The 20,391-nt window shown below is 36.9% G+C and overlaps 1 protein-coding gene and 1 long non-coding RNA gene across 21 annotated transcripts in view, besides 6 other annotated features; one reads left to right on the top strand and one right to left on the bottom strand.

The window, feature by feature from the left end:
- BAZ2B (bromodomain adjacent to zinc finger domain 2B) overlaps positions 1 to 20,391 on the top strand; it is a 397,131-nt gene that overhangs the window by 86,235 nt on the left and 290,505 nt on the right. For 14 of the 19 annotated variants that reach the window (XM_047444047.1, XM_047444046.1, XM_047444040.1 and 11 more), the window contains one exon: positions 9,607 to 9,966. The gene's annotated coding sequence lies outside the window, so the exon portion shown is untranslated. Of the gene's footprint in view, positions 1 to 9,606; positions 10,815 to 20,391 lie in introns of those variants that run through there. The other 5 variants (NM_001329857.2, NM_013450.4, XM_005246488.3 and 2 more) reach the window with 3 other exon arrangements.
- Positions 1,973 to 2,474: an enhancer, noted in NCBI's record as "H3K4me1 hESC enhancer chr2:160480245-160480746 (GRCh37/hg19 assembly coordinates)". NCBI's record gives its function as "activates a minimal SCP1, AML or CMV promoter by ChIP-STARR-seq in naive H9 embryonic stem cells {active_cell/tissue: H9 hESC(naive)}" and the evidence as "EXISTENCE:reporter gene assay evidence [ECO:0000049][PMID:30033119]".
- BAZ2B-AS1 (BAZ2B antisense RNA 1) lies at positions 8,166 to 10,914 on the bottom strand. 2 transcript variants are annotated; one of them, NR_110587.1, is made up of 2 exons: positions 10,755 to 10,914; positions 8,166 to 10,461 (listed from the first exon to the last, which is right to left on the bottom strand). It is a non-coding gene; the product is annotated as a BAZ2B antisense RNA 1 (long non-coding RNA). The 2 variants fall into 2 exon arrangements; NR_110588.1 differs by having other exon boundaries at positions 8,166 to 10,458.
- Positions 9,571 to 9,640: an enhancer, noted in NCBI's record as "active region_16686". NCBI's record gives its function as "activates an Ori minimal core promoter by ATAC-STARR-seq in GM12878 lymphoblastoid cells {active_cell/tissue: GM12878}" and the evidence as "EXISTENCE:reporter gene assay evidence [ECO:0000049][PMID:35858748]".
- Positions 9,571 to 10,124: a biological region, named in NCBI's record as "NANOG-H3K27ac-H3K4me1 hESC enhancer GRCh37_chr2:160472595-160473121".
- Positions 9,598 to 10,124: an enhancer, noted in NCBI's record as "NANOG-H3K27ac-H3K4me1 hESC enhancer chr2:160472595-160473121 (GRCh37/hg19 assembly coordinates)". NCBI's record gives its function as "activates a minimal SCP1, AML or CMV promoter by ChIP-STARR-seq in naive H9 embryonic stem cells {active_cell/tissue: H9 hESC(naive)}" and the evidence as "EXISTENCE:reporter gene assay evidence [ECO:0000049][PMID:30033119]".
- Positions 9,891 to 9,970: an enhancer, noted in NCBI's record as "active region_16685". NCBI's record gives its function as "activates an Ori minimal core promoter by ATAC-STARR-seq in GM12878 lymphoblastoid cells {active_cell/tissue: GM12878}" and the evidence as "EXISTENCE:reporter gene assay evidence [ECO:0000049][PMID:35858748]".
- Positions 11,181 to 11,709: an enhancer, noted in NCBI's record as "H3K27ac hESC enhancer chr2:160471010-160471538 (GRCh37/hg19 assembly coordinates)". NCBI's record gives its function as "activates a minimal SCP1, AML or CMV promoter by ChIP-STARR-seq in primed H9 embryonic stem cells {active_cell/tissue: H9 hESC(primed)}" and the evidence as "EXISTENCE:reporter gene assay evidence [ECO:0000049][PMID:30033119]".

The following is a 20,391-nucleotide window of genomic DNA, read 5'->3' as shown; positions in this document are numbered from 1 at the left end:
AAGTCTCTTTGTAGGTCTCTAAGAACTTGCTTTATGAATCTGGGTGCTCATGTATTGGGTGCATATATATTTAGGATAGTTACCTCCTCTTGTTGCATTGATCCCTTTACTATTATGTAATGGCCTTCTTTGTCTCTTTTGATCTTTGTTAGTTTAAAGTCTGTTTCCTCAGAGACTAGAATTGCAACCTCTGCTTTTTTTTTTTTGCTTTCCATTTGCTTGCTAAATATTCCTCCATCCCTTTATTTTGAGCCTGTGTGCATCTTTGCATGTGAGATGGGTCTCCTGAATACAGCACACCAATGGGTCTTGACTCTTTATCCATTTTGCCAGTCTGTGTCTTTTAGTTGGGGTATTTAGCCTGTTTACATTTAAGTTTAGTATTATGTGTGAATTTGATCCTGTCATTATGATGCTAGCTGGTTGTTTCGCCTGTTCGTTGATGCAGTTTCTTCATAGTGTCAATGACCTTTCCAATTTGGTATGTTTTTGCAGTGGCTGGTAGTATTTGTTCCTTTCCATGTTTAGTGCTTCCTTCAGGAGCTCTTGTAAGGCAGGCCTGGTGGTGACAAAATCTCTCAGCATTTGCTTGTCAGTGAAGGATTTCATTTCTCCTTTGCTTTTGAAGCTTAGTTTGGCTATATATGAAATTCTGGGTTGAAAATTCTTTTCTTTAAGAATGTTGAATATTGGCCCCCACTCTCTTCTGGCTTGTAGGGTTTCTGCAGAGAGATCCACTCTTACTCTGATGGGCTTCCCTTTGTGGGTAACCCGACCTTTCTGTCTGGCTGCCCTTAACATTTTTTCCTTCATTTCAACCTTGGTAAATCTGATGATTGCGTGTCTTGGGGTTGCTCTTCTTGAGGAGTATCTTTGTGTTGTGCTCTGTGTTTCCTGAATTTGAATGTTGGCCTGTCTTGCTAGGTTGGGGAAGTTCTCCTGGATATCCTGAGGAGTGTTTTCCAACTTGGTTCTATTCTCTCTGTTATTTTCAGGCACACCAGTCAAATGTAGGTTTGGTCTTTTCACATAGTCCCATATTTCTTGGAGGCTTTGTTCATTCCTTTTCGTTCTTTTTTCTCTAATCTTGTCTTCTCGCTTTATTTTATTAAGTTGATATTCAGTCTCTGATATCCTTTCTTCTGCTTGATCAATTCAGCTATTGATACTTGTGTATGCTTCACAAAGTTCTCGTGCTGTGTTTTTCAGTTCCATCAGATCATTTACGTTCTCTAAACTGGTTATTCTAGTTAGCAGTTCCTCTAACCTTTTTTCAAGATTCTTAGCTTCCTTGCATTGGGTTAGAACATGCTCCTTTAGCTCAGAGGAGTTTGTTATTACTCACCTTCTGAAGCCCACTTCTGTCAATTTGTCAAACTCATTCTCCATCCAGTTTTGTTCCCTTGCTGGTGAGGAGTTATGATCCTTTGGAGGAGAAGAGGCATTCTGGTCTTTGGAATTTTCAGCCTTTTTGGGCTGGTTTCTCCCCATCTTCATGGATTTATCTACCTTTGGTGCTTCATGTTGGTGACCTTTGGATGGGGTCTCTGAGTGGATGTCCTTTTTATTGATGTTGATGCTATTCCTTTCTGTTAGTTTTCCTTCCAACAGTCAGGCCCCTCTGCTGCAGGTCTGCTGGAGGTCCACTCCAGACTCTGTTTGCCTGGGTCTCACCAGTGGAGGCTGCAGAACAGCAAAGATTGCTGCCTGTTCCTCCCTCTGGAAGCTTCGTCCCAGAGGGGCACCTGCCAGAGGCCAGCCAGACCTCTCCTATATGAGGTATCTGTCAGCCCCTACTGGGAGGTGTCTCCCCATCAGGAGGCACAGGGGTCAGGGACCCACTTGAGGAGGCAGTCTGACCCTTAGCAGAGCTTGAACACTGTGCTGGGATATCCGCTGCTGGCTTCAGAGCCATCAGGCAGGGACGTTTACTTCTGAAGCTTTGCCCACAGCCGTCCCTTCCCCCAGGTGCTGTGTCCCAGGGAGTTGGGGGTTATATCTATAAGCCCCTGACTGGGGCTGCTGCCTTCTTTTCAGAGATGCCCTGCCCAGAGAAGAGAAATCTAGAGAGGCAGTCTGGCCACAGAGGCCTTGCTGAGCTGTGGTGGGCTCCACCCGGTTCGAACCTCCCAGCAGCTTTGTTTACACTGTGAGGATAAAACTACCCACTCAAGCCTCATCAATGGCAGATGCCCCTCCCCCCACCAAGCTCAAGTGTCCCAGGTTGACTTCAGACTGCTGTGCTGGCACCAAGAATTTCAAGCCAGTGGATCTTAGCTTGCTGGGCTCTGCCTCATGCCTTTTTAAAAACTGCATAGTACTCCACTGTGTGGATGTTCCATAATTAATTCAACCATTTCATTATGACAGATATTTGGATTATTTCCAGGCTTTTGCTATAAAGTGCTTCAAAGAATAACTTCCTGTATATATACCTATTTTCATATTTTTGTCAGTGTTGGTCAGATTTTTAGAAGTGAGATTTGCTAGCAAAAATAAAATAAACACATATGTAACTTTGTTACATACTGCCAAATTCTCCCTTGTTGGGGTTTTTCCATTTTGTACTCCAAAAAGAAGAGGAGGAAGAAAAAAAGAAAGAAACAAAAACTGCCCCTTTTTTCTATAGGAGCCTCATTCACTAGCAGCCTGTTTTGTAAAACTTGGACTTTTGGGAATCTGAAGGATGAGAAACAGTATCTCCGCAATTCTTCATGTGCATTTCTCTTACTATGAGCAAGGTTACAAATGTTTTTATTTAAGGGGCATTTCTTCCCCTTAAATGCCCTTGGGCATTTCTTTTTGTGTGTGTGTGGTTTTTTGTTTTTTGTTTTTTTTCTGAGACAGGGTCTTGCATATTGCCCAGGCTGTAATGCAGTGGTTAGTTATAGTGCATTACAACTTCAAACACCTAGGCTCAAGTGATCTTCTTATGTTAACCTCCCAAGTACCTGCGACTACAGGTATATACCACTGCACCCAGCTCACTCTCTCGTGCATGCTCTTGCTCTTTCTCTCTTTCCTTCCTTCCTTCCCTCCTTCCCTCCTCCCTCCTTCTTTCCTTTTATCTTTCTTTTTCTCTCCCTTCCTCTCCCTTCCCTTCCCTCTCCCCTCTCCCTCCCCTCTCCCTTCCCTTCTCTTCCCTTCCCTCTTCCTTTCTTTTCTTTCCTCTTTCTTTCTTCTTTTCTTTCCTTTCCTGTTTCTCTCTTCCTTTCATTCTTCTTTTTTTTTTTTTTGAGACAGGGTCTCACTCTGTCACCCTGGCTGGAGTCCAGTGGTTTGATCATGACTTACTGCAGCCTGGACCTCCCAGGCTTCGAATAGCTGGGACTACAGGGGCACACCACCATGCCCCACTACTTTTTGTATTTTTTGTAGAGACAGTCTCATCATGTTGCCTAGGCTGGTCTTTAATTCTCTGCCTGCCTCAACCTCTCAAAGTGCTGGCATTACAGGCATGAGCCACTGTGCCTGGCCCCATTTCTTTTTCTCTAAAATGACTGCTTATCTCTCTAGTCATTTTGCTATCAGGTTGTTAGTCTTTTTCTTCTCTGTTTTTAGGCAGGCTTTACATATAAGTTTATTCAACTGTCTCATATAAGTTGCAAATATTTCTTTACAGTTTGTCATTTGTCTTTATAGTTTGCTTGTGGTGTTTTTGTTTTGGCTATAGAAAAGCTATTTTATGTAGTAAGATTTACCAGTATTTCCCTTTATTGTATCTGGTTTTGACCATTGCTGGGAAAGTTTTCTTTAGGCTCTAATTATTGGGGAATCCTCCCATAATTTTTTTTAGTACTTGTATAGGTTCAAATCTTCATGTTTAAATATCTGATCTTTTTCAGTTTTATTTTTGGAGCAGATCCAAGTTTATCCTTTTTCTTACGAATACCCAGTTATTTGAATACCACTTTGGTTTTTGCCTTTTTTTTTTTTTTTTTTTTGAGACAGTACTCACTCTGTTGCCCAGGCTGGAGTGCAGTGACACAATCATGACTTCAGCCTTGACCTCTTGGACTCAAGCGATCCTTCTGCCTTGGCCTCCCTGGTAGCTAGGACTACATGCATGCACCACCATGCCTAGCTAGTTTTTTTTTTTTTGAGATGGAGTTTCGCTCTTGTTGCCCAGGCTGGAGTGCAATGGCATGATCTCGGGTCACCGCAACCTCCGCCTCCCGGTTTCAAGCAATTCTCCTGCCTCAGCCTCCCATGTAGCTGGGATTACAGGCATGTGCCACCACGCTTGGCTAATTTTGTAATTTTTGGTAGAGATGGGGGTTTCTCCATGTTGTCAGGCTGGTCTCGAACTCTTGATCTCAGGTGATCCACCTGCCTCGGCCTCCCAAAGTGCTGGGATTACAGGCGTGAGCTACCATACCCGGCACCTAGCTAATTTTAATTTTTTTTGTAGAGACAGGATCTAGCTATGTTGCCCAGGCTGGTCCCAAGCTCAAACAGTCCTCCCGCCTTGGCCTCCCAAAGTGCTGGGATTACAGGCATGAACTACCATGTGTGGCCTTGAACACCAATTATCAAAAAGTCCATCTCTTCCTCACTGCTTTGAGATACAGCTTTTATCTATACTAAATTTCCATATGTACTTGGGTCAATTTCTCATTTTCCTATTATGTTTTATTGGTTTTTTATTCATGTGCCAGTGCCAACTATTAAGCTTTAAAGGTTTTATAATGCTTTAGTATCTGTTATGATTGTCCCCTCCACCCCTGGCAAAGCTCTCTTTTTCAAGATTTCCTGTGTTTTTCTTATTTCTTTTTCCAACTGAATTTTTTAACAAATTTGTGCTTACAGCCGTGTTCTTAATCAGGGATGTTTATCAGAAGCGTCTTTAGAGTTGAAGAAGAAAAGAAATACTTGACCCCCCACCCAGACATGGTGAATTCTGGACGTTGGGGACATTTGAATTCACATAGTGAATTCTGGACACTGGGGACAATTCTAGATATTTAAAACAATCTCTACAGTTGATTCTGATAATCCCATTTTTAAAAGAGGCCTATAAAGCGTCATAGCCAGGTTTTAATTCCAGACTACTTTATGATTTGTTTTCCCTTATGTATTCTGGCCCATAGTTAATGACTGCAGCAACTACTGTAAGCCAGAAATTTCTCTAGTCCTCTTTCACTCCTTCCTCTTCCTTAATTCTATTTTCAGTTAGTCACCAAACTGAAATTTTACCTCAGAAATATCTGGCTGTAAATCTCCAATGCCACTGTCTCTACCATCATTCTTACGGACTGTTAAGCAATCTCTTAATACTACAGTCTATCATTTGCACTGCCTATACAGTTACTGTTCCCTCAAAACAAGGTCAATCATGCCACTCCTTTGCTAGCCTTTGTTGGCTCTTGTGATAAATTCAACCACCTTACCATGGTACTTAGGCCTTTTACTGTCAGGTCCCAGCCTTCATCTTGGTCATGACATCCCTATCATTCCTTTATCTCTGTCCTTCCCCATACTGAATATTCCCGCATACAGAATTTCTCACTAGTGGATGGACACCAGATCTAGTATCTCTGCATATTTACACTTGTTGTTTCTTTCACTTAGAAGACCACCTCCCACCCCGAACTTCTTTGCCTGGTAAGCTCTCAGTATTTGAGATGCAGTTCAAATAACATCTCTTTGATAAAGCCTTTTCTAGTCTCTCAGTGAGAATTAGTTGCCTCATCCTCTTTATTCTCACAAAACTTTATTATTTGTATCTTTATAATGTGATTTATATGAGTCTCTAATCTCCCAGGCATTTCACACTTTGTACATCAACCAGAATGTGAGCTTTTCATGTTTTTCCAGCCTCTAGCATAGCGCGTAGCATATAGCAAGCACTCAAATGTTTGTTCAATGAATGAAAACAAATAAAGCTTCATTAGGCTGTAATGATTGAAACAGAAACAAGATATAACAGTGGCCAGCTTGTTATACTGTTGAGATCTCTCGTTTGTTTTTCTTTGTAGTCAGCCTTCCTAGACTTCATTCTCTGTACATAGCAATTTCTTACTCTTTGAGGAACCATCTACAATACCCATAGTAGTAAGTTAGATAGCCATCCAACTCTATATCTACCTATTTAAGAAGTTCTGTCTTTGTCGTAAAAACAGATGCTGCTTTACAGAAGAAAGTGCAACAATTTAGTCCATATTGGTGGCATAGTCTGTGGGATAGGTAAATAGGTATAGAATTTCAGAGTTAATTATTCACTAAAATTGGAAAAGATCTGCTTGATCATTAAATTCTATCACAATTATGTACATGATGAAGCACTAATACAGATGATGATCTTGGGTAGAAGACGAAGTCCTGTTGGGAGTTAAATTATTTTATAACTATAGCAACTATTTTATCTGAAGTTTTCCCCCTCAACTGTATGATTATGTTATAATCTCTGAAATGATAAAGTATGATAACATGAAAAAGGGAAGGAATCATATTTTAAAAATAATTTAAGCACAATTTCTTAGTAAGAAGGTATCAAATACTTGGAGTAATCCAGTTTAAAATTTCTAGGAAATCATTTTTTTTTAAGAAGAATCAGTTTAAAAATACAGATTAAATTGAATAATTTTAATTTGTATATCTGAATTACCAAATAACATTAAATAATTTTAAATATATATTTTAATATAAAATTAAAGTTTTTATTATTTTTATTGAAATAGAGAAATATATTTATGAATTTGAGATACCTATGTCAGTCTTTCATTTAGCAACTATTTTGTTAATTATTGATTTCCATATAACTTCACCATTGGGAATGTCACATATTTCCTGAAGTATATAACGAGCCCTTCATAATAAAAATATATTTTAAAATGTCTTTAGAAGACATTAAAATCAAGGTTTTCACTGTCACCCCTTTTCCCCTTTTTTCCAACCTTTTGATGATGATAAGATGTATTTTGTTATAAGTTACTTCCTTGTGCAATCAAGTAAAAGACAACTTTGGGTTGTATATGGCTCCAGCTTGAAATTGCATATACATATTCTTATAAAAATTTTTGAATTATGATTCTAAAATTACTCAGGGGAATGACTGGAGTTTTTATATAGTAGTTAATCACTTTCATTACATATATTGTTTTTTCTGTAGATTAGACATATTTCCACAATTTAAATTAATGAATTTTATTACTTTAAATTATTTTTTTTCACAGGTTTCTTTTCTAAAATCCAGGCAATGTAAATTACATATCATTATGAAACCATTGTTTGGGAAACCAGTGTGGCATCTGCAATCCCAATATTTCAAAATATTATTGGAACCAAAAATTGAACCATGCTTTGCAGTATATTGTTTGAAGTATTTAAGCAAAGGATGTATTCTTAATTATTCGAGTTACAGTGTGCCACTTAACTTTATTTCAAGCGAGGTATATTTTGGGAGAATTCTTTATGAAAATCAAGATAACTTGAATCTAGCACTTTTTCCTTATCTTTTCAAAATTAAATATTTTCAACAGTAATGCTAATGATTAGGTAAAGTGTCAGTAATAGATTGTTAAAACATTAATATTCAATACTTTACGCATAGAAATATCAGTGTATTCCATTTTTTAGTTCCACATACTTAAAAATATTATTTATTTAATGACCACCATTATAGAACAATGCATTAACTTTTTTGTATGTGACTTGGGATAGAAGTCTTAGATACTAAGTGCATTCATACTTATATTTTAATCTATATTTTTCTTCTGGAACATTATTAGTAAATTTTGAGATTATAGAACTGTTGACCCAGTCATACATGTACAGAGCTTGGCCTCCGAGTTAATTAAATATGAGTTAATAATATATTATAAGGAAATTATTGTCCTTATTACAGTTATTAGGTAGTTACTCAAATTATAGCTTGAAAGGAATGCAGAGCATGGAAAACTCAGGATTAAATTATGCATTTGAACCTTAGGCCAGTTTTTACTGTAGAGACAGTTTGCTGCTAAAAGAGAAATTGTATGTCATTGAAATTAAATGCTTTTCTGGGGATGGAAGATTCCAGTTTTTAATGAAATTACTGAGTGTGGTGTAGTGAAATGATTAAAATCTGTATTCCGGGAATGTGGCAGGGAAAAAAAATCAATAAGTGCTAGCACAGCTTTGCTGCTCAATGTGAATCCTGAGAATGAAATAAACTACTACAAAAATAATAATTAAAAACATATCAGCACATTAATTTATTTAGCATCAGTCTCCTGAGACATCATCTTCACTAATTTTTAGCATACATTTTACTCTGTAATGAGCAGCCTTCTTTTCAGATATCCCTATTAGACAGGCAGTATTTCTGCCCTTCCCCCAGTGCTCCTGCATTGCAATCATTGTACTTGCACTTATTATGTTACAAATGACCGAGGTAAGGCTGACATTCTCAGTGCATGCAAAAAGACCGAGTCTGCCAAGCTTTTTTTTTTTCCTAATGAAGCAGCTTTGTGAAATCTCCCCATGTGTTAATACTAATGAAGATCCTCCAGCACAATTAAAATCACAGCCAGTGGCTGAAGAGGAAACATAAAACAATAGCATCTTTTAAGATACATTTATCCACATATGTATAAAATATACATAGATGATCAAATTATTCTCCGATAGCTTAATTTTTACTTACTCTTCATCCTGAAAATTAAATTATGCAATTTTTAATTATATGAACTTTGAGACTTTCTTGTGTTCTGGAGGGAAAAAACGGTACCTCAACGAACTTCTAAAAAAAAAAATACGTATCTTCTTGGCTAATAAAGTGTTATCAAGATTAAGGCTTTTAAAAAAATTGTTTTTAGGAATCTATAGGATGGGGTGCGGGAGGGAATGGGGCCTATTGTATCTTTAGTTTAACTTGATTGGTTGCAGGATTTGGGAATTGGGGTTGGGGGAGTGGAAGGGTAAAAACAAAGTTGGAAGAGATTCTGGGGGTAGACCATAGCATATGACTGCATTTGTAGTTTAAAGGAGCAAAGGGCTACCAGTCTTACTCATAACTTGATTTTTAAAAAGTGTTCAGTGCCTACAATTTGCTATGCTTTTTTTCTAATCTCTCAGAAACTTGAAAAAAAGCTATCGAGATTACCTTTTACAGTGTGTGCATATAACTTTAAAACGACTATTTTAACGTCTTTTATTTAAATTTTATTTTAACTTAGTGCATAAACATTACAGCCAGTTTAACTTGTCCGTGGAAAGGCAGTAGAATTTTACCCCGGGACCGTCTTGCATACTGCTTTTTTTGAGTTTTAACATCCGCAAAATCTTGGCATATTAATTTAGTTGGGTTGTAGAATTCTGAGTTTAGGAACAAAAAAAATTTAGGTGGAGATGGTTGACCTATGCTCCCTACTCTGTAGCTTTTGTTTTTTTAAAAACTAAGTTTTAAATCCCGTTTTCTGTCCTGTCTTCTTTAAAAGCAAAACAAAACATTTTAAGTTTCTTAACTTTTTCCTGGGACAAGGAACGGTGCAAACTCAAAGCTACAGTATTCTTGGAAAGAAGAAGCAACCCCCTCCCTTGGCTCCTTTAGGAGCTGATAGGTCATTTATTATTGGAACTGAAATGGTATAAACAATTCTCTCTCTTTTTTTCCCTTGTTAACAGCAACTTTCATTGTTAGAGAGAGGAGAGAGAGAGAAGCCTTGTTGGTTGACGTCACTTGGTTCATGAAGCCTTCGCCTAGAAGTGAAGCTGCTGAACAAACCTTGAGAAGAATCATCTCCTGCTTCAATCTGCTGCTGGATAGGAACTAATCAGAGAGAGAGAGGCGGAAGACGGAGAAGGAGGGAGTCGAAGGCTTTCCCGATCACAAATCTCACCTCCACTACAACTCTCTTTATACTTTTCTTGCAGAAATAATAATAGAAATAAGGAGGTGGTGGGGTTTCCAAAAATCTTAACCTTCAACCATCTGGGGAAAAGGCAAAAATCCCATCTACCGCAACTCTCAGTTCGAGAGTAAAGGTGAGTTTAAAATCCTCGGGCGTGAGGGGTGCGGGTGAGGATGTAAATTCCCAGTGTTACAAAGCCGGTGGAAACAGCAGCGGAGAAACTGCGCTCGGGCAAGCGGGGGACTCCGGAGTTGCTGCGTGGAGGCGCTCGCCCCGCCGCCCTCTCGCCCTCCGCCGCTGTTTATCCTCGCCGGTCGGTGCGGCTCTTTGTTGTGGTGGCCGGAAGGCTGGGGTGGTTCTCGGGGTCCCGAGTGGAGTTTGGGGGAGGAGGACACGGAGATGTGCCGTCCTGGGTGGGAGGTGGGGGGTGCGGCCTCAGGAGAACGTAAACTTTATTCCTAGAAGCCGGTGCGGGACTTCGCTGGAGTAGGGCCGTGGGTTGTGCTCCCGGCCGGGCAGGCGCTGCCGCCGCGAGTCCGCCGCCTTTGTGCCGGCCGCCCTGGCTTCGCGTCTCCTTCCTCTTCCCCTTCGGCTTCCAGCGCTCAGGTCGCCGCCAACAGTTTTGCTTCTTAAAAAACAACCTCTGTCAGCGTTGCGATGGCCGTTCCTACCCCGGAATATCCGCTGCTCCCCCACTCCCTGCCGGGGTAGTTTCTGGATCACCCCCCACCCCCGTCCGCCTCCTGCTGCCCTTTTTTGCCTCCGCCCCCTCTTCCCTGTCGGACTGACGAGCTGCGTCTGCCACCCCCACTCCCCGGCTTGGGCCTCTAGCTCTCCCGTGTGTAGCTGGAGGCTCTGAGTTTACTGAAGATGAGCGGGGGTGGGGGTGGGGCAGGTGGGATTGGGAAAAGATCTGGATACCTGGGAAGGTCTATGTCAGCACGCAGAAGGTTTGAGGAGCATTGCTTCTCATACAGTAAGGTCTGTGCCTTGGTCTCATGTTTTAGCAGTTCTTCCCCGGGAACGACCGCCAGCTCCCAACTCCTCTGCTTCCCTCTTTTAATCTTCTTGTCGCTACCCCTCCCCCCAGCCCCCGTTCTCTTTCGCGGCTCCCTCCCCTTTAAGTAGTTTCACGAACCCCAGAATTGGGATTTGAGAAGGGGAAGGAAGTGTTTGAAGAGTCAGAGCTGGCTCTGTTGTTTGGGAGATTTTCTCTTCTTTTCTTTCTCCCTCTGTATTTATCTTTTGTCTGTTGCTTCCTTATAAAGAGGGAAGCAGCTGCAGTCCTTGGCCGAGTTGTTGAAATTTATCCCTTTGTGTATATTACAATATCCTCCATTTTTTTTCCTGCCCTCTAAACAACAAGCGTTTCGCCATCTTGGGCAATTTTATTCCCAAGTCTCTCTCTTTTTTATTTTTGAGGAAAGGAAAGAAGTATTAGGAAGTGTGTCTGGATAAGTCTCAAAGTTTAGGGAATGTTCAGGGGGCCCAGTGACGTCATGTAAACTTTACGGAGAAATTTTCCCAAGAGTAAATTTTTTGCTTAATTTTTCTCCTGTTTTATAGGATTGTGTAACTTACAGGTTACTGATAAGTTGTGTGGCTTATTTTTGTGTTTTGCTCTCAAAATCAGTATACGAAGTCTGCGTATTGTATGTTTTGGTAACAGGTGGAAGATTATATGCAAAAAATGGTAAAAAACTTGTGCGTCATTTGTTATTTATCTGGTTTTTGTGTACTTTTTTTTTTAATTTAAAGGTTTCAACTGTTATCTGTAGTCAGTATATTCCCTTTCTTATTTGCTCCACTCTCCCTTATGGATTTTTTGAAAATTAGCTTGGTTAATATTTATGTATGGTTATTTTAGATTATCTGGCTCCCCGTTTCTAATAAAATGTTCTGGGGTTTTCTTTTTCTATTATTTATTTACATTTTGAAAAGAAATGACTATGGAAAATACCTTAAGATAATGGATACTTTAAAATTTAGTAGCAGATATTAAGTCAAACAATTATTGAGTATTTAAGAGGCAGAATTGATTTTAAAAGTTATTTTATAATCGCTAGCTATAAACTCTTTGTCAGCCATTATGAACAGATAAACAAAAACTAGCACTGTTTTAATTTGCTTGTCTAACATAGTTTTTCGCCTCACAAAAGTTGGTTTGGTCACATGACCAAGCTTAATGATACACTGACTAGTATATAAATAAGAGGCACTGTATATTGAATGGGAAAGTGGAATTCTGTCTCCTGTAGTCATTTTCAGTCAGCATATTTACATCTCTTCTAACAAGGACATGAAACTGTCTGTATTTAATTTGCATTCTCTTTGTCTTCTGGGTTGAGGGAAAAACACTGACTACAATTAACTTAAAAAAAGCTAATAGAAACAATTCTGAATACATTGAAAAGGTTTGTGTAACACACAGAAATTTATGTTCTATATGGTAAGTTTTTATTTCTGTAGCAGTCTTCTTTGGTGTTATCTATTTATCCAGGAATTTGCTTCATGTAATATGCTATATAGAAAGCTTGACTGAGTTGAGTGTCTGCCATTTATGTGAATTGTAGGTAGGTGAAAAATGTTTAAATAGTTAAAAGCACATAGAACAGATGGTTCTAAATTATACATGCAACAAAGGACTAGAAGATTTGGCAGATTATAAATGGCAAGCAACAGAGGATAAGCAGTTTAAGAAAATGGTAGTTAAGTACATTTGATGTCTCACACCTATTGTAAACACTGTACATATTATTGTCACTCTGCTGCATAATCAGTAATTTGGACAACATTAAGACACTCGTATGGTTCAGATAGAAAAAAGTAATTTTTACAAGTATTTGAAACAAGTGGTTGAATTTAAAATTATTTTAAGCCTACGATGATGAAGAGTCTTTTTTTTTTTTTTTTTTAGAAAATCAGATTGTATGCTTTAAAAATACAAAGTTATTTATGAGAACTTAATATTGTGTTCTTATAATGGTTGGAGAGAAACAGGAATGGGTACATATTTTAAAATCCAGATAATAGTAGCTTCACTGTTCTCACATGTTAAACTAGTGCCGAATTGTAGTACCATTTACTCTTACAAACACTAATGAAAAAATACTTCTAAACTCTTCAGTCTTGGAAATGCATTTATTGGAATACTGCTGGCATCATTTATGAAATACTTATTAAATGAAGGAAGGATATATTTTAGTTTTAATTTTTGAGTTTTATACATAACATTATGATACTGATTTTACTTGAATATTGTTTATTTACAATTTTTAGAATAGATGGATTCTTATGCAGGTTTTTTCTTTCTAGAACAGTCTCTGAGTAATTATATTTAGCATTTTCAAAAAATTGGGAATAGCTTAAAGTATTCAACTTGGTAGAAATTTGTTTTTATTTTTTATAAGCCATTCATTTAAAATGCACATAAGACTGTAATGGAAACCTTAGAATTTTAATTCTGTTGCCCTTTCTCCCATTTCTTTGTTTGCATGTTTATTATAGAACTGCAGTGTAAAGGAGCAGATGTTTTGCCAAACATCCTGATGTGTTGCTTTTTCTTATGGGAGTGCATAACTGTTCCTTCTGATGCATCAACTTGACAGCTGGTTGATTTCATGGAGCTGCTAAGAAGCCATTAGTGGTGTCATTGAATTGAAACAGAACAGTCATTCCCAGCTTGAACTGCAATTGTTAATGTCTTTGTTGCTACTTTTGTGTTACTATACAAGATGTAGGATATCACAGTTGCATGAAAGTTCAGGATTTCTGTCTTATCTCCTTGAATTAGTGAAAGTATATTTTGGAACTTGATTACTTTTAGGTTTAAAGGTTTCTCAGAGAAGGGATCTTAAGTTGTAGTTTCTGAGTAGAACTACCAAAAGAAGAGATATGATTTAGCACAAATTAATATGGTGATTTTGACCCTTAAGAGGAATTACGTCATCAAGTTTTAGTGATTATTAATATATTTGATTTCCTGGGGGATTAATTAAGTTACCTAGTTAGGTATTTTAAGAGTTTTTTTGGTTACATAAAATTAAGTATTTTTTACCATGAAGTTTTAAAAATACTGTTGCCTTTTTAATAAATGTTAATCCATTTGGCTGTTTCTTTAAACTTTTGTTCTAGGAAGTAATCACAAAAGAAAAGAAATAATTATTGGGGAAAGAGGCAGTTTTGTATTTAATTTTTCTTTATAATGAGGCTAAAATGTTATTTAAAAATTCATACAAACTATGATCTAAAATAACTTACTAGTAGACATTTAATGATTTTTAAAAAATGAAATTATATTTTTATTGTTATAACTTTTATTGATAGTTTCAGCTATCATACTAAAATGTGTGATACTAAATATGTGATACTAAAATGGTGTCATACTAAATATGTGATACTAAAATGGTGTCATCCCATTGGTGCCTACATATATTCTACTTTTTCTAATTATTTGCATGGTGTTTTTTGGTGGTAGAGGAAATGGGAGGGAGAAAAGAGGAAGAATGAAAAGTGATAATCCCAACACAGAAACATCCATTAAAAAATTCATGTAAATAAGATTTAAGGATATAATATAGTTTATTTATTACTATGTTAAGAGAATTTTTCTAGTCCCAATATTTATTGACTTTTAATTTGTAGGTCTTTAGGTGTATTAGGCATTTAAATAATTCTTCAAAGAGCATAAAATTTGTAACACTTAAAATAATTTGCCATTACAAAAATAAATACTTAAAATATGAAATTGATTAGAATATATAATTTGCTCAAAACTTCCTCTACAATATAAATTTTTAACACTTATGCCATTGATTCCAGAATTATGATTTCCTGAAATCAAAGTTTATAGGGACCCTTTCCTTTTAAATAGGTTGTACATTACTGACTAAAGCTAAGATTTATATTCAGACATTATGCTTTCTCAACCCTTTTTACATAGTAGCCATACAACTCCTTAAAAAGAAAATCATTCTGTTACCTTTGACTATGACTCAATATTTAAGAAATGTATTTACTCATAACATATTTTTGTTGAGGTAGATATTCATATAAATCAAATTAAGGAACATTGAATTGTGTATGAAATGTGAACTTTTTTTTAAAGGACTCCTGATGCTTAGTTTATCTTTAGAGATAATATAGTCTTAATTGTACTACACATAAACATCCTGTAGTTTAAGTAGGAATTTTCAGGCATCAGATTTCTAGAAGGAAGGTAATTCTCAATAGAAAGGTCATTTTAAAAGTTCAAACTTTGATTTACAGTTTTTTCTGTTGACCGTATTAAGTATGAAATTATGGGTAATAAATATATTTAATTCATTTTCAACTGCATATTGAGTTATAAAATATTGGCCACATGTTTATTGAAAACAGGAAAAGTAAATGAATATATATGACTTTTAAATGTATTTTGAGTGCTATTTGATTTGTGGCAGTCATAATAGAGTTTGAAATATAAAATATTTAAAAGTATGGATATTTACAGTTAAACATTGAGTTTTTAACCTTAATAGGGTTTTATAAGAATATGAGGTGAAAATATAGTTTTTATTCCACATACTTAAATTTTTACTATATAAGGTAAGAGTATTTCAATTTGTTTTAAAAGATAACGCTTTAAAAATAGTTTTTATAATTTATAAAATTCAACTTGTACTTTGGCTTTTGAATGCCTTTCATTCAAATAAAAACTATTGCATATTGGGGATAATAATAATGATGGCAACATAGATAAGAACCTTTACTAATTTTGTGTTGTGCACATGTGTGCATGGTATATAAGAAAAAGGAGCATTTGGTTTGAAGATAATTCTTGGATTAGTACTTCAGCTATGTGTAGACATAATTGGGTGTTTTTTCCTGTTTTCTCCTCTTAACACTTTTCCACAAACATGCACTCATTAATCAAAGACGGTGCACTCCTGCTGAGGGCAGAGAGGTTCATCAAATTGGCAGTCAGTTTGGTGTAAAGAACGGTGTACTGAAGCTCTTAACTCGCTAGGACATAAATAAATCTAAGGTCTTTGTATGCAAACCCTAGAGGTTAATACTGTATAATTCAGTGTCCTGTCTTTGTTTTTATGATTGATGTTTTTAAATGTTTCAAGCTTGGTGAAAGTCTTCTAGTAGGTCAGGTCTGACAATCTGATTGGCTGTAGTAAGAAAGCATTAGGTTGTCAGAAGGACTTTGAGTATGCTGCAGAGATTTTGATTTTTTTTCCTATGAGATCATTGTCATATTGCCTGAGCTGTTATAGGAATGTACCAATGATTGACATTGCCTGCTGTGATAATGGACCTAGTGCATGAAATGCCAATAGTTCGGTCCTATTTGTTCAGAAGCTTACTGCTATTTGTATCCTTAACACAGCTAACATGTAGAACAAGCAAAACTACTGGGATTTCTCTGTAGAAATAGTGCTGGGATTTGGCTTTAACATGAATTGGTTGCATATTCATAATTTAAGAACAGCTGGTTACAGCAAGCACATAGTCATTTGCAAGCTATTATAAACCATTCCACTCACATGGAGCCTGTGCTTGGTGATTTTTTTTTTTTTTTATTGATCTACCTGCATTTAAAATCTGGTCACTGCTGCTACAGAAGCTCTTTATTTTAGCTGTGTTTGCAACACAGAACAGGTTCAATTTTAAATATTTAATTTAAACTTAATGCTGAATAAAATGAAGAAGCTTTGAAGGAAACAAGTGTAAAAGGTCATGTCCTACCTGTCACGGCCAGAATCAACCAAACAAACCTAGATTATACAACTATTGTAATTTTTGGAATATGTGTTTTATGATTTTGTCCATAGATCAATAACAGAATTATCCTGGATTTGGAAATATTGCTAATAATATTTTACTAGTTATACATAGTTTTGGGAAACAACATTAACAGTAGATTGTGATTAATTAGTCTAAAACAATGTCATCTAATATGTAGAAAAGTAGTATAATACTTTTAGCTTATGAGTGGTGGTGTAAAGCAAGATAGAAGGGAAAATTGGCATGACTTTATAACTGGATTAGAATAATGCTAATCCTAAAACTATAGAGTTACTCTAGTTTTTTAGAAGAAATCTAATAAGGAGTCTCTTTTGCTTTTTGAGTCACTTCTGGAGTATTAAGCACAGGTATGCTCTTACAGTATTTAGGTGGTATTGGTAAGTTAGGCCAGCTATAATAGTTTCCTGCATGTTGTCAGTAATAACTGTAAGGAAAGAGGAGAACACCTTTGTGTCTCAAGCTTTTAGTGAGAAGGGTGGGAGGAGAAAATGTTAAATGCTATTTCAGCTCTCCTTTTAGGAATCACAGGGAGCTGTGCTTTGATTTGTGTATATTAAAATAAGTGAATACCTGAGTGATTTACAATGATGCGTTTCCACACATGGTGTTAGGCTCACATGTGCATGTATGTGTTTGTCCCCACACTAGATGATGAAGTAGCTCTCAGCACTTCAAGGTTGAGTACCAGTCCTAAGAGTGCATTTTACTCTTTCTTGGCTTCAGAAATGGCTGGATAGGTTTGTAATATAACAGAATATATGGCCAAATTTAATCCAGCTGATAGTAGGCTGTACTTTTTTTTAAACAACAAATCCAAAGGTTATTAAAGGATGATGCATTGTGTTTTAGTTTTGAGTTGCATAGGATCATAACTATAATTAGTTAACTTTCCATTATTTGAGATTATATCAGGCATTTTGTAAATTATTTTATGTCTTCTTCACTCCCTTTTGACTATTGTCCTTTCATTTATTTCTCTGCTCTTTAGCATCTCATCACAGAATAAAGGAAGGAAAATTCAAACAAATCTGGTTTTCCCTGCCTTCCCCACTTCTTGATGAAGAGGGGTTCTTAGTTTTTGACTAAAATGCAGGTTTGGGATTTTATTTGTCTGCCTTTTCTGGTTCTCATTACATAATTATATTTAGAAAAGAAGAAGGGTGAGTTAATGGACTGGATTTTTATTTTTACTTTTTATTTTTTTGGAGACAGGGTCTCACTCTGTTGTCCAGGCTGGAGTGCAGTGGCACGATCCCAGTTTACTGCAGCTTCAACCTCCTGAGCTCAAGGGATCCCCACCGCCTCAGTCCGCCAAGTAGCTGGGACTACAGGCTTACGCTGCCATGCCTGGCTAATTTTTGTATTTTTGTAGAGACGGGGTTTTAGCATGTTTCCCAGGTTACTCTTGAACTCCTGGACTCAAACAATCTGCGCACCTTGGCCTCTCAAAGTGCTGGGATTACAGGCATGAGCCACCACGCCTGGCCTGACTGAATTTTTCTATACTGTATTAGTAACCCAGCAAAACAGAAAATTTAGACGTTGTTTGAAAAAGTAAAGTGACTCAGTGACATCCACCACAGAATTGCACATATTTGATACATTTGTATTATTCTAGTATTAATAATAGGAAAAGGAGGAGGCATCTACCTTCATTCTTTAAGCTTTTATTGAATGCTATCTCCAAGCATGCTCTGGGAGAGCTATGGATAACAATTTATGGAAGTTCATAGTAGGAGAGAGATGGCTTCTCATTGGAATAATTAGAAAAGGCCCTTCGGTTTAGGTAGCATTGAACTAGATCAAGAACAATTAAATTTTGAATATTCACAGATCAGGAAGAAAAGATCCAAGAAAAGAAGGACTGCATAAGCCTATTATAGAACAAATATAGAGCTAGAGCTCTATATTAGAGCCAATCCATTTGACATCTGGGATGGTTCTGCCTTTTCAAGGTCACCCCAACCCATACCTCTTCCACTAGAAGGAAAAGAAAATGTCATGGGATCCTTCCTTTCAAAATTGACTGCTTGGCTTTTTCTGGAGAAGATGGGTTAATCAGTTTCAATCCTCCATTTCAGTGATAGGCTTATTTGTGAAGGCCGGGTTAAAACTGACAAAACTACCCTTTCTGGTTAGAGGTATTCAAATCTTCTGTTTTGAGATTAACCAGAACCCCTCCCTTTTCCTTGGTTCTTTTCCTATGCTTTTGTGAACAGTTTTTCTGGAAATCTAATGCATGATCCCCCCTGCTAAGAACATTGAGTAGAGAGCAGAGGGTGATATATGTGTATCCCTTTTCTCCATGATGATGGCTCTGGCTCAAAAAACACTTTTACTTCTTTTAGTTCCTTCGGATGAATGCAGAAGACAAGCAGACTGCTGGACTGCCAGTAACGGGCATATCCATAAGGACAAAAAGGAGGGCCAGGCGTGGTGGCTCATGCCTGTAATCCCAGCACTTTGGGAGGCCGAGACAGGCAGATCACTTGAGGCCAGGAGTTTGAGACCAGCCTGGTCAACATGGTGAAACCCTGTCTCTACTAAAAATATAAAAATTATTTTTTTTGAGGCGGAGGTTGCAGTGAGCTGAGATAGTACCACTGCACTCCAGCTTGGGTGACAGAGTGAGACTCCGTCTCAAAAAAAAAAAAAAATAGAAATCCCACTAAAAAAGAGTATGAAAAAGGAAAGATTTAAAAAATTTTCAAAACACAAATGTATGAAAGATCTTTTACATAATGTCTTGGCCAAGGACAATAAATTTTAGTAGTTAGTCTTTTCCTAACTTCATTATTACTACATCATAATAATAATGAAATTTATTATTATTGCATATTAAATGTTTTATTTGCAGTATTGTGATGAACATTTACTTGCAAGAGATTTGTCATAAGAAAACCTTAAAACTTTTATGTAACCATTTTTTATCTTGTACAAGGATAAGTTTTGAGGTAAATTAAAGATGGAAAACAGTGGAAATAAAAAGTTATCTAGTGTCTAAGTTTAGTTCAAAGCCATGCTTACTATCTTTTCTGGTTTCTATGATGACATGGTTGTTGAAACATGCTTCTGATCTTTGGGTAATGTATTACTGTTAACATAAACCATTGTGATGACATAGGAAGCACCAAAACCTATCTTCAACATTTGAAAAAATCAGGAGCCGTGTATAAGTCACAAAATGACCTTTTCTTCGTTTCTGGGTTGTTAGTGCAGCATGCTGAGAAAAACAGGCTCTGCAAGGCAACATTAACTGACAGAGTTGTGGGTCAAATCTCTTTATTTTAAAAGAGGGGTTACTTTGGAGCCAAAGTTAAGTGTTCTTAGGGTTTGGGCAGAAACAACAAAAAAGGAGACAATTTTAAATAAGGTTTCTAAATGCAGTCAGAGTGGAGCATTGTTATGTAATCAAGTCCTTTTGGAACATATCAAGATTTTGTCCATAGTAGTGTAAGTATTTTAGCATTAAATTTCTGTGCCTTGTCATTAATATTTTCTGCAGCTTGTTGGGTAAATAACTCTTATCTGTAATCATGCCTTGGGGATTTGAAGTAAAAGTTGAAGGGTTAGGGAAGGGCAGTGTGAATAGTAAACACTTGGTCCAGGAAGAGAACATGTAATAACTTTAGACAGTTAGATAAAAGCTCTCTTTGCCCTTCCCGCTGCAGGAAGCCTGTTTGTAGGTACACTTGCCAAAACTCACAAAAGAGAAGAATTGTTTTAAAGAACGTGAAAATGTTTTTGTACTGTGTGTGAAATG

This window comes from Homo sapiens, chromosome 2 (assembly GCF_000001405.40).
Source record: "Homo sapiens chromosome 2, GRCh38.p14 Primary Assembly".
NCBI classification, from domain to species: Eukaryota; Metazoa; Chordata; class Mammalia; order Primates; family Hominidae; genus Homo; species Homo sapiens.
This window is presented reverse-complemented; position numbering and strand designations above follow the sequence as displayed.